The sequence below is a fragment of the Homo sapiens genome, chromosome 2, assembly GCF_000001405.40.
Source record: "Homo sapiens chromosome 2, GRCh38.p14 Primary Assembly".
NCBI classification, from domain to species: Eukaryota; Metazoa; Chordata; class Mammalia; order Primates; family Hominidae; genus Homo; species Homo sapiens.
The window spans coordinates 109822584-109842691 of record NC_000002.12 but is presented as its reverse complement, the minus strand read 5'-3'; the positions used below and the strand labels follow the sequence as shown (position 1 = coordinate 109842691).

General features: G+C 37.3%; 2 protein-coding genes across 6 annotated transcripts in view; both read right to left on the bottom strand.

Annotated features, from left to right (window-relative positions):
• RGPD5 (RANBP2 like and GRIP domain containing 5) overlaps positions 1 to 20108 on the bottom strand; it is a 97088-nt gene that overhangs the window by 15014 nt on the left and 61966 nt on the right. For 3 of the 5 annotated variants that reach the window (XM_006712794.5, XM_047445980.1, NM_005054.3), the window contains exons 10-20: positions 18289 to 18470; positions 18030 to 18205; positions 17739 to 17862; positions 16658 to 16816; positions 16254 to 16391; positions 15845 to 15991; positions 14721 to 14900; positions 14544 to 14627; positions 11240 to 11375; positions 7601 to 7695; positions 4650 to 6873 (exon numbers count right to left, since the gene is read on the bottom strand). In XM_006712794.5, the coding sequence (XP_006712857.2) occupies positions 4650 to 6873; positions 7601 to 7695; positions 11240 to 11375; positions 14544 to 14627; positions 14721 to 14900; positions 15845 to 15991; positions 16254 to 16391; positions 16658 to 16816; positions 17739 to 17862; positions 18030 to 18205; positions 18289 to 18470 (3645 nt within the window). Of the gene's footprint in view, positions 1 to 1657; positions 3759 to 4649; positions 6874 to 7600; positions 7696 to 9672; positions 9842 to 11239; positions 11376 to 14543; positions 14628 to 14720; positions 14901 to 15844; positions 15992 to 16253; positions 16392 to 16657; positions 16817 to 17738; positions 17863 to 18029; positions 18206 to 18288; positions 18471 to 20108 lie in introns of those variants that run through there. The other 2 variants (XM_017005081.3, NM_032260.3) reach the window with 2 other exon arrangements.
• RANBP2 (RAN binding protein 2) overlaps positions 391 to 20108 on the bottom strand; it is a 1122820-nt gene continuing 1103102 nt past the window's right edge. The window contains exon 25 of the mRNA XM_047445367.1: positions 391 to 1288. Within this exon, the coding sequence (XP_047301323.1) occupies positions 1235 to 1288 (54 nt within the window). The 3' untranslated portion in view covers positions 391 to 1234. The remainder of the gene's footprint in view (positions 1289 to 20108) is intronic.

Genomic DNA, 20108 nt, shown 5'->3' with positions numbered 1-20108 from the left:
AGACATCCTCAATCACTGCCCTTATACCTTTACCTCTGCAGCTTCTTAATTGTTGCTGCTCACACCTACAGTGCTCATACAGTTAAGAGCCCAGAATCCAGGGCACGGAACTAATCAATTACATTGCCTAGCAAGACTTTCCTGTTTGCTGATAAACTGTAAAGTGTTATTTTTTCTGAGACAGGGTCTCACTCTGTCACACAGGTTGGAGTGCAGTGGCACGATCTTGGCTCACAGCAACCTCTGCCTCCCAGGCTCAGGCCATCCTCCCACCTCAGCCCCACAAGTAGCTGGGACTTCCAGGTGCATGCCATCCCGCCCAGATAATTTTTGTACTTTTAATAGAGATGGGATTTCACCATGTTGTTCAGACTGGTCTCAAACTCCTGGCCTCATGTGATCCAACTGCTTTGGCTCCCAAAGTGCTCAGATTGCAGGGGTGAGACACCACGCCTGGTCTAAACTGTAAAGTTTACCAGGCCCTTTGACATGTATTGGTTTATTGACTCCCAAAAATCTGAAGTTCAGAGAAATTTAATGACTTTGCCCAAGGTCTCATAACTGAGTTAGAAACCAGAATTGTAATCTAGATTTTTATTTAAACTTCAGATTTCATTTATTTTGCATTTCATTAAATTGCCTTAGTCCTGACTGCCCTTTCTGAAGCATTTTCCTGGGTTTCTGGTAAGCTGACTGCTTATTCCACTGCTGATTGCTAGATTACAATCTCTTGTGCGACCTTTGCCCTGGCTGATTACTTCCTTTGTTGATTCTTTGGCATATATTAAATTCTTCTGAAGTTGCTTTTTTACCCTAATAAGTGACCGATAGCTGCTAATGCTCCAGTGACAATATTTCCCATGGGAAACCAAAACACCATCAACTTGCTACTAAAATACTGCATCATCATGGCTGACATTTTTCCATTTCTTCCTGGAAGCAGAATGGAAGATACTGGGTACGGCTGAACTAAAACTCCAACTAATTGTAAATGTGAAAGCAAAGAAGCTATATTGGTTATGCAATTCTACACATTCAGTGCCGCTTGAGTGTTTCTAAGTTCCTTGCTCTAGCTAATGTTTCTATTTAAAAAGTAGACAAATTTGATGACTAACAACGGAGAACACGAAACAAATCTGGTGAATACCAGAATTAAGACATGTGTCAGCCAGGCGCAGTGGCTCATGCCTGTAATCCCAGCACTTTGGGAGGCCGAGGCGGGTGGATCACGAGGTCAGGAGACCGAGACTATCTGAGGGAGAATCTTCAGGTTTTTTCTTCTCTTTTGCTGTAACACCAGTCAAAAAAGTTGACAAAGATAAGGTATTAAGTATTGACGTTAATACTCTACCTGAAAATAAAAACCATGGAACCTATCTATAGGTTAAAACAGCATACTGATAAAAAACACATATACTTTGATGCAGAGATGTACGATAATCATGAATTAGAATTAGCATCCTGATTTAGTGTTCTACCAAAAACCCTAAGTGAACACAGAATCTATTTAAAACCAAAGAAAACAAAAAAAATCTTGTGTTTACTTAATAGTCATTGAAAAGAATTACTACAAAATTTCTAGAATTTAAAAAGGTTAAAAATTTTAAAGTGTTGCCTAACTATACTTAGCATACAATAGTTTACCAAAATATCCACGCATTTGCAGCAATTGAAAAAAATCTTAAAACATAAGCAAGTATTAGTATACATATGAAACTAATCCAAAGCCAACTGTGATTAGTTCCTGTAAGGAAAGTTAACAATTGCCAAGAATGGAAGGTGACTAGAGTTGCATCTAGTTTGCCTGTGTTCAAGCATGATACTAGATAAAATTAAATAAAAACTGTGACTCTATGGGTAGCTAATACTATAAAATCTAAGACCATTCATATGGCTGAAAACAACCCATCCCCAGCCACCATCAATGCAAAGGGCAAAAAATTAGAAACAGAAAAAACTTCTATATGCAACCTGTTCTGATCTATTAATGTAAAGAAGAACTTCTGGCTAAAGGAGTTTAATAAAGTAAGCCAGTTATGAAGCATGCCATGTATACCAACTGGTGACAGGGAAACATTCTGAGAGCTATGGTGTCCAATATGGTAGCCTAGCCACATTCTATTAAAACCTCACAAGGTGGCTAGTCCAAATCAAGACATGCTAACAGTAAGTGTAAACACACACACTGGATTTTGAAGACTTGGTGAAAAACAATAATGTAAAATATCGTTAATTTTTATATTAATTAGAAGTTAAAATGATATTTTGGACATAATGAGTTAAATCAAATCTATCAATAAAGTTACTTTCATCTGTTTCCCTTTTTAACTGTTTCTTTTTATTCTTTTTAATATGGCTACTAGAAAATTTATTTATTTATGTATTTATTTGAGATGCGGTCTTCCTTTGTCACCTTTGTCACCCAGAGCTGGAGTGCAGTGATGTGATCATAGTTCACTGAAGCCTGGAACTTGTGGGCTCAAGTGATCCCTCTGCCTCAGCCTCCCAAGTAACTGGGATTATAGGCACCAGCCATTGCACCAAATGACAATTTTAAATTACATACACAGGTTATATTTTATTTCTATTGGATGACACTGCTCTGCAGAACCAGTGCCCTTCCTTTTACAATGTTAAATCTGTCCCTCTCCTTCATTATAAACAAAAACTTAGTATCATTTCCTAGCTAGGAGAAATAACAGTACACCATAAGATACAGATTCTTGTTCCACTTCTGCTATTACTCAGTAAAGACCCCTTGGGTAAATCAGATAGCCTCTCTTGGCCTCAGTTTACTCATGTCTAAAGTCTTCATTTCTAAGGTCCCTTGGGACAATGACATTATCAGATTCAAAACAGAATAAGGCTCTATGTTCTACAGTAGTGTATAGGCACATTCGTTCTTAGCTCAGGGATTCTTAACCTAGAGCTCACAGAAACTGTACGCAAGTATACATCCACTTTTAAGTTAACACTTTTCACATTTCTCAAAGACCGTATCTTTAAAATAAAAGATTAAGAGCTACCTTAGCTGGTAATAAAACTGGTATACTTAAAAAAAAATCAGAGATTGTTACTTTATCATTGTACTTGTTTGGCATGGCTAAGATGTGTTACTGGTCACTAAGGGTGAGATTTCACTTCCCTAACCTGTTCTTGAAGGCCTTCAACAGATCCCACTTCTTGTTCCACTCTAGTAGCCACACTTCTAAAAATGATCTGTGCAACATATATAATATGCAAGCTGTAGAATGCTGGCTGTTAAAAATGGGGTCCATTTTCAAATACAACATTTTTCTAAACCATGCACAAAAGAACAGCCCTACAGGGACACTCTTCCATACTGTATACATGCCGTTGCCACTACATGTGAATACTGGCAGACGTTAGTGGCTAAAGATAAACATTAGATAAAACATAGGTCTTCATTGAGCAGACCTGAAATAGCAGAGCAATGAAGTACATTACAAATCAGCATCCCACTACATTTTAAAAAACAAACCAACAAGGGTGTCATGCCACCAGTCAAAAGGTACTTTGCTTAAACTGGCATTCTTTAACATGCATGTTGTAGTGGTAAGTACTTCATTTCATACAGCCACAGTAATTAATACTTTGCTAAGGGCTACCCAGCTGCTAAAAACTGCTGTTATCTCATACTGAGAATGCTAGTTCTATACCTTTGCTCTCAGGCTGTGAGGAAGGGGTGCTAGTCCAAAAGGCCATGGGATTAGATTTAAAAAGGCTAAAATTAAATCCTAGAAAATAAAGAATATTTCATTTTTTAACATTTTAGGAAACAAAATGAATATGCTTTTAAAACATAAAAAGCCAGAATCCCTCAATTTATACCACCAATCTGACTGTCTTACATATTCATTTATCCCTGTAGTTTCATTCTTTGCTCATTTAATACATGAGCAAGACTGACATACAACACATAAAATGAGAACATCTCAATATCATGTTTTTTTTTGTTTTTTGTTTTTTGTTTTTTTTGGAGACAAAGTCTCACTCAGTCACTCAGTCAGGCTGGAGTGCAGTGGCATGATTTCAGCTCACTGCTACCTCCATCTCCTGTGCTCAAGCGATCCTCCTGCCTCAACCTCCTGAGTAGCTGCTAATTATAGGCACGCACCACCATGCCCGGCTCATTTTTGTATTTTCAGTAGAAACAGGGTTTCACCATGTTGGCCAGGCTGGTCTCGAACTCCTGAGCTCAAGTGATCTGCCCACCTCAACCTCCCAAAGTGCTGGCATTCTAGGAGTGAGCCACCGTGCCCAGCCTCAATATCATGTTTTCTGAGTGACAAAAGAAACAGAACAAATGAAAATGAACACTTTAAAAAAAGACTCACGTTAATGCGCATGATTCAAGCATGAGTCCGTACACTGTACCAAGTTCTTTTGCTCTGCCCTAGCATGATAGAAGTATCTTCCAGTTACTGAAATGTCTTTAACTAAGTTCTCTTGCTCTTTGAAACCTCACCGTGAACTTATTAAGGGAGAAAAAAAATTGCTCAAATATTTTGGGGGTGTTCACAAAGCATCGTTTATATCCCAACATTAGTATCCCACAAAGAGTCTGCATCAAGCTAAACATTAAAAGAAAGAAAAATTGTGCTTAACTTTAACAACAAAGTACCTACCCTTTTCTGGTGTTTTAAATGTGTAGTTGATTGAAGATTCTTCCGTTGGAAAGGAAGCAGAGAGATTTTTGACTTTGCTATCTGAAGACTGTTCGATATCAGAGTTCTTTGACAGTTCACATTTTTTAGGTTCCACTTTGCTTTCAGATCCACTCTGGGCTACTGAACTAGTTTCACTATTGTTACTTTTCAAAGGTGCATTAAAACTAAATCCAAACAAAGACCCAGTGGCAGAACTGTTGCCAAATACAAATGGTTTTGATTTTTCACTACTAAAAATTCTTTTAACAGACTCTGAAACAAATACAAACTTTGGAGGAGAAACCACTGCTTTTGTTGTTGTTTCAGATGTGCTAGACACTTCAACTTCTGAAGCTGCATCTGCTACATCATCACCCTGAATAACATCTGTCCTCTCTCTTGTGGTTTCTTCTAATATAGCTACAGCAATTTTGCCACATGGTGACTCTCTGGGAGTGCTTGACCGAGAAACATGAGGTGTTATCAAAGAATCTTTTTCCTGGGCTGTTTTTGCTTCATCAAAAATTTTCTTAAACGAGTCTGCAACATCCTGTAGTTTAAAACGAACAGCTAAATGCTCTACTTTTCTTTCTCCATCTGCAAAATCACATGCAGTCCACACCCATACTCTTTCTGTCCCTTTCATATTTTGCAAACTCATGTCTGGAGTTATTCTGTGATTGGCACAAAGTTTTAATACTTGGTCCCTTCTCATCACTATACGAACTTGCTTATTATCATAATTCTGTAAAATCTTTATATCACCAATGCCCCTTTCTTTCCATTGACCAACATCTTTATCATATCTGTAGATTTCTGCCCTGTGACTAAAAACAACTTGTTCATTTTCCTCACCACTGGATACTTCAACTAGATCAGGTAAAGGAACAACAGGTTCAAAGTACTGTCCATCTCTCTCTTCTTCTTGAGTAACAACAGATTCTTCATCAGTGCCAACTGAAGTCCCACTCTGATTCAACTTGGCAGGAGACTTAGATAGACTCAAAGCAGATTTAAAACTGAAGTTAGATCCTGTTGTTGACTCATCAAAGCGGAAAAGATTTTTTCTCACAGGGCTACTTGCCAATGGAGAAGCATGTACTGAGCTACTACTGACACTATCATCCAAAGCATCTTCCCTTAAGTCATAGTTATCCCATTCTAATGTGGGCCCAGTGTTTTCAGCATTGGGTTTTATTGTTGTGTCTGAGGCACCGGCCGCACCTGTACCTGAACCCTTATTTTCTTCCTCAGTGACTTTTGTTTGATCATTTGTCAAAAATGTTTTGAAATCTTTCAGTCCACTCTTCATTTCTTCAGCTCTCTGTATTAACTTGGCAGCTCTGCCAGTATCTACAAGTTTATGGGGAGTTTGAAGTGGTATGTCTAACAGAAGCCGCTGGCATTCCTCAAATTTCTGCTTGAATTCTTCAGCCAGCTCTGGTGTTTTAAATTTTGCTGCCAACCGCTCTAGTTTGGCATCACCGTCAGAGAAATCACTGGCTGACCACATCCATGCTCTATCTGATCCAGAGAGGGGCTTCAGGTTCATTGTAGTCGTTATCCAATGATTAGCACACACTTTTAGTACTTGTTCTCTTCGCATCAGCATTCTTAGTTTGCCATTGACCTCGTTTTTGAGAATTTTTAAGTTCCCCAAGCCCCTTTCTTTCCACTGCCTTACCTCAGCATCAAATCTAAATAGTTTTACCCCCTGTGAATACAGAACTTTTTCACCTTCTTCTCCTGTTACAAGTTCTACTTTTTCAGGCATTTGAACTACTGGTTCAAAATGGATGTCATCGCTGTCCTCAGTCTTATAGGCATCATCATCTTTCTCAAAGTCACCGGAAGTGTTTGCTTTATTGGCCATTTTACCGTATCGTGATGAGAATAATTTTTCTCCAGCACCTGAAAATCCCTTGAAATTGAGGTCTTTTTTGCCAAACTGAAATCCTTCTCCTGAAGTTGATTTTGCAACATCTGCAAATGTAAAAGTGCTACTTGTTTGGCCAAAAATCACACCACGGCCCTTCTTCCGGCCACTAATATCCTGAGCCTGGAAGCCAGTATCATTTTCAAGAGGCTTTTCCCTTTTCTTTTCTTGATTTCCTGGTTCCGAAATGCCAAATTTAAATCCATCAGCAGACACAGGGATGGAAAATCCTTCTTTGGTTGACTTAAATTCTGTATTAGAAGAACCCTGAAACATAAATGAAGGTGAATTTTCTTGATCCACATGCCCAAAATAGTCATGAAATAAATACCTTCTTCATTCCTAAACAATTTATCAAATGATGTTAACAATAATGATGATGATGATGATGATAACATTTATTGAGCATTCATTAATGTGCCAGCTGGGCACTGTTCTAAGCACTTTACATTATTATCTCATTTTAATATCCTCAAAAACCCTATGAATTAAGGTATTATTATTATCCTCATTTTACATATGAGGCAACTGATGCATTGAGAGGTTAAGAAACTTGCCTGTGGTCAAAATAAGCAGAAGAGCAAGGGTCTAAATGCACCCCAACACTCTGTCCTCAAAGCTGTCACATTCAACTACCACTGTAATATTGAGTCTTCAATCAATTGTTATATATATAGCTGTATCAGGCCTGAAAGTACTTACCACATAGTGGGTCAGCAAGGGCATTACAGTTCTATTTCTGTTAAAACAGAACGATGAAGGATCCACCACCACCACTCCCATTTTTAAAATATTCTAAATATTCACACTTACTAACACAAAAATAAGGTGACTAAGAAGGATAATTTCTGTATTTGGAGATAAATTTAAAATATCTACATTTTAAGGGACATAAAAGTTTTAATAGTGAACTGCTCTCTTGAATTTATTTGAAGGAACCCTAAACAATTTAAAAAGAAAATAATTATAAATGTATAAATTATTCCTTTGTTACCTTTGTGGGAGTAACATTAGCTGCTGGTCTGAGAAGATACTGGGAATTATATGCTGGTGACTGACTATAATATACTGAAGGGCCAGTAGTTGCAACTGAAAAAAAAAAAAGAAAAGAAAACACTGTTAAAGTCTATACTACAGTTAAGACTATCTAGGCAAGAGCTATAAATACAAAAGCAATAGAAGTTAAAGAAAGATTTAACTACATAAATTTTAAATTTCTGTACATCAAAATACACCAATCAAGATTATCAAATGACAAACTAGAAAAAAATTGCTAAATATGACATGAAGAATGAGAGAATAGCATCGCTGTGATCAACAAGAACTACCTCGCAAGCATTAAAAAAGGAATAAAGAAGATAGTAACTGTTGCCTTTTCTAAGAAAGATCAGTATGATGTGGAATTATGGACATTCAGTCACAGAAAGGACGTAAGGAACCAAGATGCCATCTGATAGTCAATGCATTTGAAGTGGGCCTAGAAAATCTGCAGAAAGACTAGGTTGTATTTTGTAAACTAAAGCTATTACTCAGAATGTTCAGCTCAAAAATCACCTGACAAATTCATGGAAAGGATGTCATAAATAACATAAAATGTGTTCCCTGGCTTAAAATAAAAAGCACATCAACACTCATACAGATGTACAAACTGTCTGCTCCCTCTGTTTGGTCTGTTTTACCAGGAAACAAAATGACTAGAAGGCACCCATGTTAATGACAAAACTACCAATAGTCATTTGCTTGAACTGTTTTATGATAGTTTTACCAGAAAACAACCAAAAGACCTTTTATGCCTGTACATGGAAGGAGAAACAGAAACTGTGCCAAGAGGTTCCAAACAATTGCCTCTGGAAAGCACTGAAAAATCAAGACCTAGAAAAGGCTAGCCAGAAGCCCAAGTTTGATTTCGGAAACCTTACAGAGGTGAGGATAGCTATTTTGAAATTACTATGGGGAGGAAGCAGGCACAGAACACAGAACAACCTGACAGAAATGGCCCAAGAATCTTAAAGTCTTGCAAGATGTCTGTCTGCATGAAAGCAAAAAGAAAAAATAAAATATTAAATAAAAAAAAATCTTAGTCTGAAGTTTAAGTAGGGACTTTAATTGACTACTGACTCTAAACTGTGCGGCTCTAATAAATCTACTAAAAGTAATCTAATTTTTTAAAGCACCATATGAATAGACAATTTAGGAAAGAAATGTTAATAGGCCTCAAGGAACATGTTTTTGAAGTGAGCCTTGAAAATCTGCAAAATGACGAGGTTGCATTGTGCAAATTGAAGCTATTATGAGAATGTTCAGGTCAAAAAAATTACCTGACAAATTCACGCACAGGATCTCACAAGGAACACAAATGTGTTCGTTGGCTTTAAAAAAATCACATTAACATTCATGTTGATATACAAAAACTCTTCTCCATCTGTTTTGTGTGAGTTTTACCAAGAAACCAAACAACTGGAAGGTACGTTGAAGATGGCAAAACTACCAACTGCCATTTGCATGAATTGTTGAGCATGACTAGTATTAAAAAAACTTAAAAATTGATATCACTTTTGTTCCTACAAATTGGCAAAGGATTTTATAAACTAGTAAGTCAGCATTAGCAAAAGTGCGAAAATGGCACTATCAGATACTAGCGGTAAGAGCATAAACTGAATATTTTGAATACCCTACAAAACTAGGACAGTGTCCTAGAATTTGTAATGGCATAAACCAGAAACAACATAAATAAAGGAACAGAATTTACAGTACTTCCATGTGATGGGATACCATGAACTCATTAATATTCAAAAAACATTTAAGTTTAAAAATGCTCAGAACTAAAGTAACATTTTAAAAACAGGCTAGCTCATCTACACACAACATAGTAACATGGTAACAATCTCATAAAAAATACTATATGTATAGAGAAAGAACCAGAAGGAAATGCTCTCAAATATAAGAAATGTTAATGAGGTGGTTAGCTTTTAGTTTTCTTCACCCTGTTCAGTACTTCTGAGTATCTCCTATGAGCTCATTAATCTTTAATTTTAATCATCTTATTTTAAAAAAACAAGGACCATCTTGATATATGTTTACTTTTATTAAGGAAAAAGAATCTATGAACACAGGAACAGAAATCAGGAGATCTTGGCTCTCGCCCTTTCAGTGCCACAAAGCTGTTTTGTGAACCTGTAAATAATCCATTTGGAGTCTCCATGTTTCTCAATTGTAAAATGACGATGTGCTGCTTCTACACATTTCACAGGGTCATTGCAAGAATAAAATGAGACAATGAGAATGTTGGATTTACATGCTTGTATAAGAACAGAAGACCTTTTATGCCTGTACACAGAAGAAATGGAAATCATGACCCACAAGGCACCAAATAACTGACTGCACACATCACTAAAAAAGCCCCAGGAAAGGCTAGCCGGTTTGTTTATCCTCTTACAAGGACCTATATGATGTGTAAGGTTTTAAGAAAACAAGGTTTGAACGTTAGACATTTCATATACTTATCTATGACTTACGACATTTAATAAGCTTGACTTCACAAAGATTTTCTGTTATTTTGCTTGTGTTGAGAAGATACTATCACAAAAGGCTAGTGGGGTTGCCTTAACTATAGGAACCATCACACAAATGTGCTCATCTAAACTAGATTTTTTTCTAAATCTTTCCTGGGCTAAAAAGAGAAAAAAAAAAAGGGCACTACTACTACCATTTCAGAAGTCTGTCGTACGTAAAAGGAACAATTTTGTTATTTCTGGCTGCCTGGGAGCAATGTATTATACTGGCAAGTGCTTTGGAGTTACACCACTGGAGTGTGAATCTCGGCTCTATCAATAACTAGCTGTATAATAATGAGTAAGTTACCTAACCTTTCTTTATCCATTTCCTTATTTATAAAAAAGGGATTAATAATGGTACCGGCCATTCTAAGTTACTGTAATTAAATCAAATTACATTCACACAGCACTTTTGCACACAGCCAACCCACAGTAAACACTATTAGTAACCTTAGTTCATTAACTGTTTACTGTATACTCTAATAAATGTCTGATACACACCCACGCCCACCTGCACATACACAAATGCTCATAGTAATTATGTAAGGCAAGTATTATCTCCACATTTCAGACAGGTTAACTTACACAGCTATTATAGTAAGTGATAGAGCAGAACTTAAAAACCCAGTATGATTCAGGTCCAAACTCCTTTTCTTTCTTTATATAACCATAATATTTCAAATTAAGTAAGATTTCCTATATAACGTCCTGCCTCTCATCATTATCATCAAAATAATTCCCCAGAGGTGTAGGTTCTTAATTAAGCATTTCTTAGTGCATAACTCTATTCAATAACATTTTGCAATTTAAGGAATAATCTCATCTCAGCTCATCTGAGGTGTGGATTAAGTGTTCTTTAAGCCTTTATATACACGTGATCACATACGGCTCGTTTTTTCTGCTTGGGATTATAAAAATCTCCGTAACACCTAATACAGCTTTTGAAGTCACATATAAACAGACGTTGACATGTATATTAACAAACATATATAAACAAGGTGATTTCACACGTTATCTACTTAAAAGAGGGAAGTAAAGTAGTTTTACTAAAATATGCGATTATCCACTTGCCAGCTCACCTGTTAGTGGAGCCCCATGAAATGTCTGTGACCCCTGATATCCATCAGGCACCGAGTCTGGTCCATAATTCTCTGTGGGCCAACGATGACGGGATGCTGACTTACTGCTATTTAGTTTCAACTCCTGCATTTCTTTCTATTGGAAGAAAAAAAAAATCAAATAATTTTAATCATTTAATTATATCATGCCAGAAACAGTGCTGGGGAAACTTACTCTTTTAAATTTAAATAACTGATTTTTTCTTTTTTTCTTTTTTGAGATGGTGTCTCGATCTGTCGTCCAGGCTGGAGTGCAATGGCACAATCTTGGCTCACCGCAACCTCCACCTCCTGGGCTCAAGCAATTCTCCCACCTCAGCCTCCCGAGTAGCTGGGATTACAGGCGTCAGCCAGCACGCCCGGCTAATTTTTGGTATAATAGTAGAGATGGGGTTTCACCATGTTTGCCAGGCTAGTCTTGAACTCCTGACCTCAAGTGATCCACCACCTCAGCCTCCCAAAGTGCTGGGATTATAGGTGTGACCCACCACGCCCGGACCTGATTATATCTTTTGAAAGTTTCTATTTGCCAAAGAGTTCTAGGTACCTGGTGCTGATTTTAAAATATGATTCTTAATTTGTTAAAAATTTATCTGCTCCCATTTTCATTCGTTAATACAAAACCTAATTCATTAACTCTCTCACCTAAACAAATAACCTCCTAAATGATCACACCTTCATTTCCATTCTACACTTGCCTACATTAACCTTTCTGACGTTCACCTCCAGCCAAGACAATTCCCTGCTCAAAAAAACAAGTACCTACAAACTAAACTTCTTTCCCCAACTTTCACAGTCCTCTAACATTACACTGACCATCCTTTCAGTGTGTTCTTTCTACACTGCAACCTGGACTACCTGACATTCCAAATCACCTCCCCAAATTAGCTTTTCACTTAACCCTGTGTTCAAACAAAATACAACTAATTCTCAAGGTGATGTTCAAATGCTCCACCAGGAAAGGGAAAAAAGTAGTAGCTGCAGAGAATTTATTATGTATATAATAATACGTCCAATGCACTTAAACTCTTAATTTTTACACCATCTACACTGTTAGGTAAACAATATTAGCTCCTATCTTAAAATGAGAGAAACGGATGCAGGGAATAACAGCTGGAATTTGAAACACATCTGACTCCAAAAATGTTTTCTTAACACAACTCTGCTGCCTTGACAAGATGGCAGATAGATCCAATGCCGTCTAGTGTAGCTATGTGGCTACTTGATCTCTGCTGAAGAAAACTAAATGACAGCACCATACCCAACACCCTAGAACCTACAAAATGTCCCCTTACAAAACAGACACTTAACAGGAAATTCTTTTTCCAAAGAAATTGTAGTGGTATCAGAAAACAGGTAAATTTTGAAAAGTTTCAAACTTCTCTGTATCAGCCCAGGAATCCGATCAGTTCTAACAAGTGAGGTCAGGGACAGATCTAGCATGTCTGCTTTCTGTTTCTACAAGTGTTTCAATTAAAAATTTCCCAGAAAGACCTAACCATGAGGTCCAAAACTATCTCAATTTTCAAGCTAAATAAAATTTCCCCCATTCATCCATCTACAGTGCCTAGTCCAGATGCTACACATACACATCCAAGAAATAAGAAACTAGTGGAATCACCTAGAAAACTTTATAGTCACTGTTGGTATCCGCACCAGAGCTTTGAATTTGCAATCACTGCTGTAACTGTAATTTTTAACATTCAGTGTGATGAGAACTGGCTTCAATAATTCTCTCATTTTAAAGATAAGAAGCCAAACAGTCACAAAGGAAGTGACTGGCCCAAGATCATTAATTAATGGCAGAGTCAGTACTAGTACCAAGCTTTTCAAGCTCATGGACTAGTGCTCCACTATACTTCCACAGAATACAATGTTGGGAGCCTGAAACCTGTATGTTAAGTCAAAATTGTATGTAATTGTCATAGGCCACGACTACACAGAATTAACATTCAAAATTTTTGTGCAAATTCAAAAATGTCTTCCCCACCAAATAGTATTCTCTTAATTTGCAAATGCTGCTGATCACACTGTAATAATCGCCACACATCAGCATATCCTTGATGTAACTTTAGCAGTATGAGTAATTTAGTTCTTGCTTGATAAACATGAAAGAACCTACTTTTATTTCCAATTCCAAAAAAGTCAAGCTCCTTTGAACCCTATTGTTAAAATAAGATATATATACATAACTATTTCCTTACATAATTAAGTCAAATTCATATGGAAGTATTAAAATATAGTAAGACTTTTTGAAGCTCAGACCACTTTTCGATTCCTAGCTATACATTTGAAACACATGTAATCCACAGCTAATCTGGGAATGAACTCATAGACCAGAGTATGATTAGTACATTGTAGCACTTCAATCACTCGGGAACCTTCTCTGTGTCAGGAACTCTTATATTTTAAATAAAACAGTTTCTACCTTTGAAGGTCTCAAATTTTGTGGAAGATGAGGAGAGAGACACATAAAGTACTTTCAAAAATATGGTAAAGGGCTGGGTGCGGTGGTTTACACCTGTAATCCCAGCACTTTGGGAGGCCAAGGTGGGCAGATCACCTGAGGTCAGAAGTTCAAAACCAGCCTGGCCAACATGGTGAAACTCTGTGTCTACTAAAAATACAAAAATTAGCTGGGCCTGGTGGCGGGTGCCTGTAATCCCAGCTACTCGGGAGGCTGAGGCAGGAGAGTCACTTGAACCTGGGAGGTGGAGGTTGCAGTGAGCCAAGATCACACCATTGCACTCCAGACTGGGCAACAGAGTGAGACTCCATCTCAAAACAAAACAAAACAAAATATGGTAAAGGGTCAAGACCGAGGTATGTAGGCTGGGCACAGTGGCTCACACCTGCAATCCCAGCACTTTGGGAGGCTGAAGCAGGAGGATTGTTTGAGCCAGGAGTTCAAGGCCACCCTGGGCAACATGGCAAAATCCCATCTCTACAAAAAATACAACAATTAGCTGGGCCTGGTGGCATGTGACTGTCTGTAGTCCTGGCTTCGTGGCAGGCTGAGCCAAGAGGCTCTCTTGAGCTAGGAGGTTGAAGCCGCAGTAAGCTGTGATCATACCACTGTACTCCAGCCTGCACAACAGAACAAGACCCTTGTCTTAAAAAAAAAAAAAAAAGACCAAAATGTCCCCTTGCCATACTATTTGGATGGCAAGGGGACATTCTGACCAGCTTCAGAAAAAAAGTGAGAGAGTAGCCAGGGAAGGAATCTTGGAATAAAAAGTACAGCTAGAGAAATTAAGTGACTTACCTTAATGGCCTCTACTTGTTGGCAAATCATATTCAGTAAAGAATTCCGATCTTCTGTCCATCGAGGTGGTGTTTCGGGAGAATACTGAAAAAAAAAATAAAAATAACAAAACAGCATTTAAAACACTTAGAACAGAAACAATTTCACAATGAAATGATTCCATTCTTTCCTGTTTACCTTGTAACTTTTACTTGGTGATAGTGAATATTTGGTAGGAGACGGTGTAGAATGTTTTATTTCTGAATCTGCATTTCGCAAAGAACCATTTTTATAGAGAGGACCTCCTTCACTATAGTCTTCGAGTTCCTGCATGACTGAATTAAGCATCTGTTTTACAGACTCCAGGGGCACAGGCAACTAAAAATAAAAGACATTAATTAAGGGCTTTCATTTGCAAAAAATTCCAAAAGTAAAAACTCTAAAATGATATATTTTATCTTATTTACATTTTTGTCACTTTAATAAGCACTTTACACTTTAAATAATAATACACGTGAAAGTGTTTTTTAATTATCTTTTTTCTTTGTTTTTCTGTTGTTTTGTATTATTATTTTTATTTTTTTGTCTTTATTCTATTTTTTTCTTCAGGAACACAGAAAAGTGTTGTACAGTCTAACATCTTCTGATTCTAAAGTCCATGCTCTTTCTATTACTTCTGTTAACCATGATAATTGTAGAGGAATGTTAACTTGGAAAGCTTTTCCAAGTGAACAAAATAAGTTACTGATGTTTTCTAACTGATTTTCAATGGTGACAGAAATACAGATGCTACAATACACCAGACAACATAAATCCTAATAAAAGAGTAGTAACACAAATTAATCAACAAAACACTCAGAAGACTGAACATAATTTAACATCATCATGACAATCTCAAACAGCTGACAGCAAGAAAACAAGGGCGTTCATAATGGCTGATGACGATGAGAAGAAATGCTCTTAAGTTGTCAGCAACAACTTTCAATTTCAGCAAAGTTCATTAAGAATTAGTCCTGAGGTTATAATATTTGTTTTGATTACACTGCTAAGATAACAAAATCAATGTCTTATCTTAGAAATCTTTTCTAATTCCCCAAGAAGTACTTTTTAAGAGCATATACCTAGATTCCCAAGTTTAAAAAGACACACCAAACCTAAGACAAAGCAAGCAAATCTAAGCATTTAGACACACGCATCCCTTCTGTGCATTAATAACAACATATTACTGAGTATTTTTGAAATTACCAAAATATAAGACCAACGCAAAAACACTGACCAGTGGGTTATCAGTAAGAACGTACATACAACAACCTGCTACTTACTTTCTTGACCACTGAAAGATTTGAATCACCGTCATCTATAATCTTTATTAGGTAGTCCCTGGTCTTTGTCAGATAATTTCTGCATTCTTCTTGTTCTTCAGGAGAAAGGGCATCATTTTCAATGTCTTCTGCCTTCCTGTGAAAAATCTATACAAATAGTGCTTTCATGAAATCATTAGCTTTTTAAAACAAAAAACTTTCAGCTTGGCCACGCATGGTGGCTCATGCCTGTAATCCCAGCAACTCGGGAGCTGAGGCACAAGAATCGCTTGAGCCTGGGAAGCAGAGGTTGCAGTGAGCCAAGATTGTGCCACTGCACTCTAGCCTGGCCAACAGAGAAACCCCGTCTTTTAAAAAAAATAATAAATAAATAAATACAACTTTTAGCTCAAGTACTGCATCTACTTACCAGTGCAAGATTCCAATAAGAAACAACACTTTTTATAGATTCAAAAGCAGTCACAGCATCTTCTATATTTCCATTTACTGCATCCAACATAGCAAAAGTTATGTGTGCGTCTTCTTCATATTCAACAATTTCTGATGCCTAAACACATAGAATAGTTTTTAGTCAAATTGTTTATACTCAGAATATAAAACCCAAATGATTTTCCAAAGATTTTATATGATCTTAAGAGACAAACATCTCATTACTCTTCTCTGTCATATCTTATCTGTGAGAGCTAGTGAATTTAGAAAACAAGATTACCGTTAAATAACAAGGCAATTAATTTAAGCAGTTTATAGCTCCACGTCTTTGTTTATAAACTGGAAATTCCCATCTCCAATAAATTCATAAAGGAACTCTGTTACCTGAATGTCTACACTATGAAAATGTTTAAACAGAGGATCAATAGGTTCAGGAATACTGTTCTTCTTTATTATCTTCAACAATGGCAAAACTTTCTTCCAATAATGAACACTTCTCCCTATGTATTCTAGTTGACCATAAAAAGAATTAAGACCGCTGCCCTAAAAAAGAAAGTTAAAAGCACACAACTTTAAGGAACACGCATGATTAGATCTAAAGTTCATTTACAAGTTGTAAGAACTGGCTAAAATTTCAAGTCAAAACCAAATGGTACCTCAATAGTCATTTGTTCAACTTCCAAATACTGTAATAACTAAACCACCTTAATACCAGTGAACTCACTGCAACCTCTGCCGTGCAGGTTCAAGCAATTCTCCTGCCTCAGCTTCCCAAGTAGCTGGGATTACAGGCACCTGCCACCATGTCTGGCTAATTTTGTAGTTTTAGTAGAGTTTTTTTTTGTATTTTTAGCAGAGACGGGGTTTCACCGTGTTAGCCAGGAATGATCTCGACCTCCTGACCTTGTGATCTGCCCGCCTCGGCCTCCTAACGTGCTGGGATTACAGGTGTGAGCCACCGCACCCGGCCTCTACACTCAACTTTTAAATGCTTCTAATGATACCACTCTAACGTAGCAATCCAAACTACTTTTTAACAGTTGTCCTTTTTAGATAGCTGAAACCTGCCTCTTCTGTAGTGTCAGTTTGTTCAAAAGGCTGACCATCTACACCTAATGGTGACACAAAACACACCTTAAATATTTAGAAAGATCTATAATGGTCTTACCTACAAAGCCTTGTGCTAATTTTTTTTTTAATTTTCAGGCTGAATAATTATCAGAACTTAATTATTAAGGAATAACAGTAACAGCTCAGCTAATATGTAACATTCACTGTGTGCCAGGCATTGCTCCTCTAAGTGCTTATATTTAACTACATTAACTATTTTGCAGCAATAAAAAACACATCTGTCATAATATGACCAAGCTGCTGTTTTCAGAACAAAAAAACTTTCAATAAAAAGTTCATGATTTTAAAAAATTAAGGTAATGTTCATTAAAAATGCTTATACTTTAAAACTCACCGTTTTCTGAAGGTATTTTGCCCAATGTACAAGCAGAGCAGGTTGAAGGCCATGTTTTTCCTGGGCTCTTAGAGTGTTTATTTCATGCTGAACTAGAAGTCTCAATTTTGCCAAGTTTCCAGGTCTAAAAAATAGTTCAATTTACTAAAATTGCTTTCTAAATACACAGTTCAGCGCTTACATACATATATGTTAATGGGTCACATGACAAATTAAATCTTCACACGAGGATTAAATCCCCGGTAAAACCTACGCACTAAGTGAAAGCAATATTTTTGTTTTACTACTTACACTGCTTTTCTGTGAATCAGAGTACAAACCGCATCCCACCAAGATTTTTGTCTTTCTGTACAAAGCTGTTTACACACAGGAAAGGGCAGGCATAACGGCTGATAGGAGCTATGGTGAGAATTACATTTCTCCTTTAATTGTAAGTGGCTGGTATATACTACTCCAAGGAGAAATACCTGTTTCATTTAAGGAAAAGTTAAGTTAGAAAAAAAAATTAAACAAAATTCAGAATATTTAATTTGTTAAAATCTTTGCTTACTTCAAGATCTAAAATACATATTGATTCAGGCGCATTTGTTTCAAGCCTTGAGGTTTCATGGGGCAAACGATGGAAAAGCTGTTTTAGCCATTTTCGGATTCCAGGTAAAGCAGGCAATGAATTCCACTGTAAGCCAAGCCAAGTAAGATGCTGAAGACTACCATTATGTGCTCGAATAGCACCTGAAATAAAATTTAAAAATTGGCTTAAGGGTTTGAAATTTTTCTTTGTGCCATTAGTTTTGCCAACATAAACAATTCACATTATATATATCTTAATTATATAACTGCTTTTCTATATCAAAGCTGGAGGGAATTCTATGTTAGGCAAAATCTCATGTTCTTATTAAATGCATTCTCACTTGATTATTTCTAGAAATTTTAATAAAAATAGTAGTGATGAAGAATGTTTAAGTCCATCTTAAAAAATGACACTGACTAGAACTCAATAAACCAAAATCAACTGACAAAAGCCAAATAAAGAACACCTAACCTAATAAGAAACCCCAAAACAATGGGTTTTGCTTTAAGTCATTAAAGCAATGGAACACCACTATATTAATCCATCGGTACAGTAAAGAAATCTGTTTTTCTACAAGAAAGTCAATATTGAAAATGTTATGCGCAGTCAGGAGTTCGAGACCAGCCTGGCCAGCATGGTGAAACTCCGTCTCTACTAAAAATACAAAAAATTAGCCGAGCACGGTGTCACATGCCTATAGTCCCAGCTACTTGGGAGGCCGAGGCAAGACAATTGCTTGAACCTGGCAGCCGAGATTGCGCCACTGCGCTCCAGCCTGGGTGACAGAGCGAGACTCTGTCTCAAAAACAAGAAAAGAAAAGAAAAGAAAAGAAAAGGTTATGCGCTTCTGGAAGCATGAAGAGGTATAATCTTTCTGTCATTTTGGCAATTTGCAAGACTTAAAGATGTTCATGTCCTTTGTCTCAGTAATTCTGTTTTTAGGTATCTCTATGGAAATAACTTGCAATGAAGACACTTTTTGTTGAAGTTTTTATCAGAGTATGATTATTAACAGTGGAAAAGTTGAGAAAACTTGGATGCCCAATAACAGAAAGTAGCAAGCAAATTATGACTACTTCATAAAAAAGATTATATTGCCAATAAAAGTGATATTTATAGTTTTAATACACAGACTATGGGAGAGAATTCATGAAGGAAGCAAGATAAATCATACATAAACAACCATTTAGATGAAAAATATGGCCAGATGCAGTGGCTCATGCCTATAATTCCAACACTTTTTGTTTTTGAGACGAAGTCTCGCTCTGTCGCCCAGGCTGTAGTGCAGCAGTGTGATCTTGGCTCACTGCAACCTCCACCTCCCGGGTTGAAGGACTCTCCTGCCTCAGCCTCCTGAGTAGGGACTACAGGCACATGCCACCACCCCCGGATAATTTTTGTATTTTTAGTAGAGACGGGGTTTCACCATGTTGGCCAGGATGGTCTCGAACTCCTGATCTCAGGTGATCTGCCCGCCTCGGCCTCCCAAAGTGCTGGGATTACAGATATGAGCCACTGTGCCGGGCCTAATCCCAACATTTTGGGGGGCTTAAGCAGGAGGATCACTTGAGCCTAGGAGTTGGAGACTAGCCTGGGCAACAAAGGGAGACCCTGTCTCTGCCAATTAAAAAAAAAATTATCTGGGCCGAGTGGCATGTGCCTATGGTACCAGCTACTCAGGAGGCTGAGGCAAGAGAATCCCTTGAGCCCAGAAGTTCAAGGCACCAGTGACCTACGATCATGCCACTACACTGCAGCCCAGGTGACACAGCGAGACCCTGTCTCAAAATACAACAAGG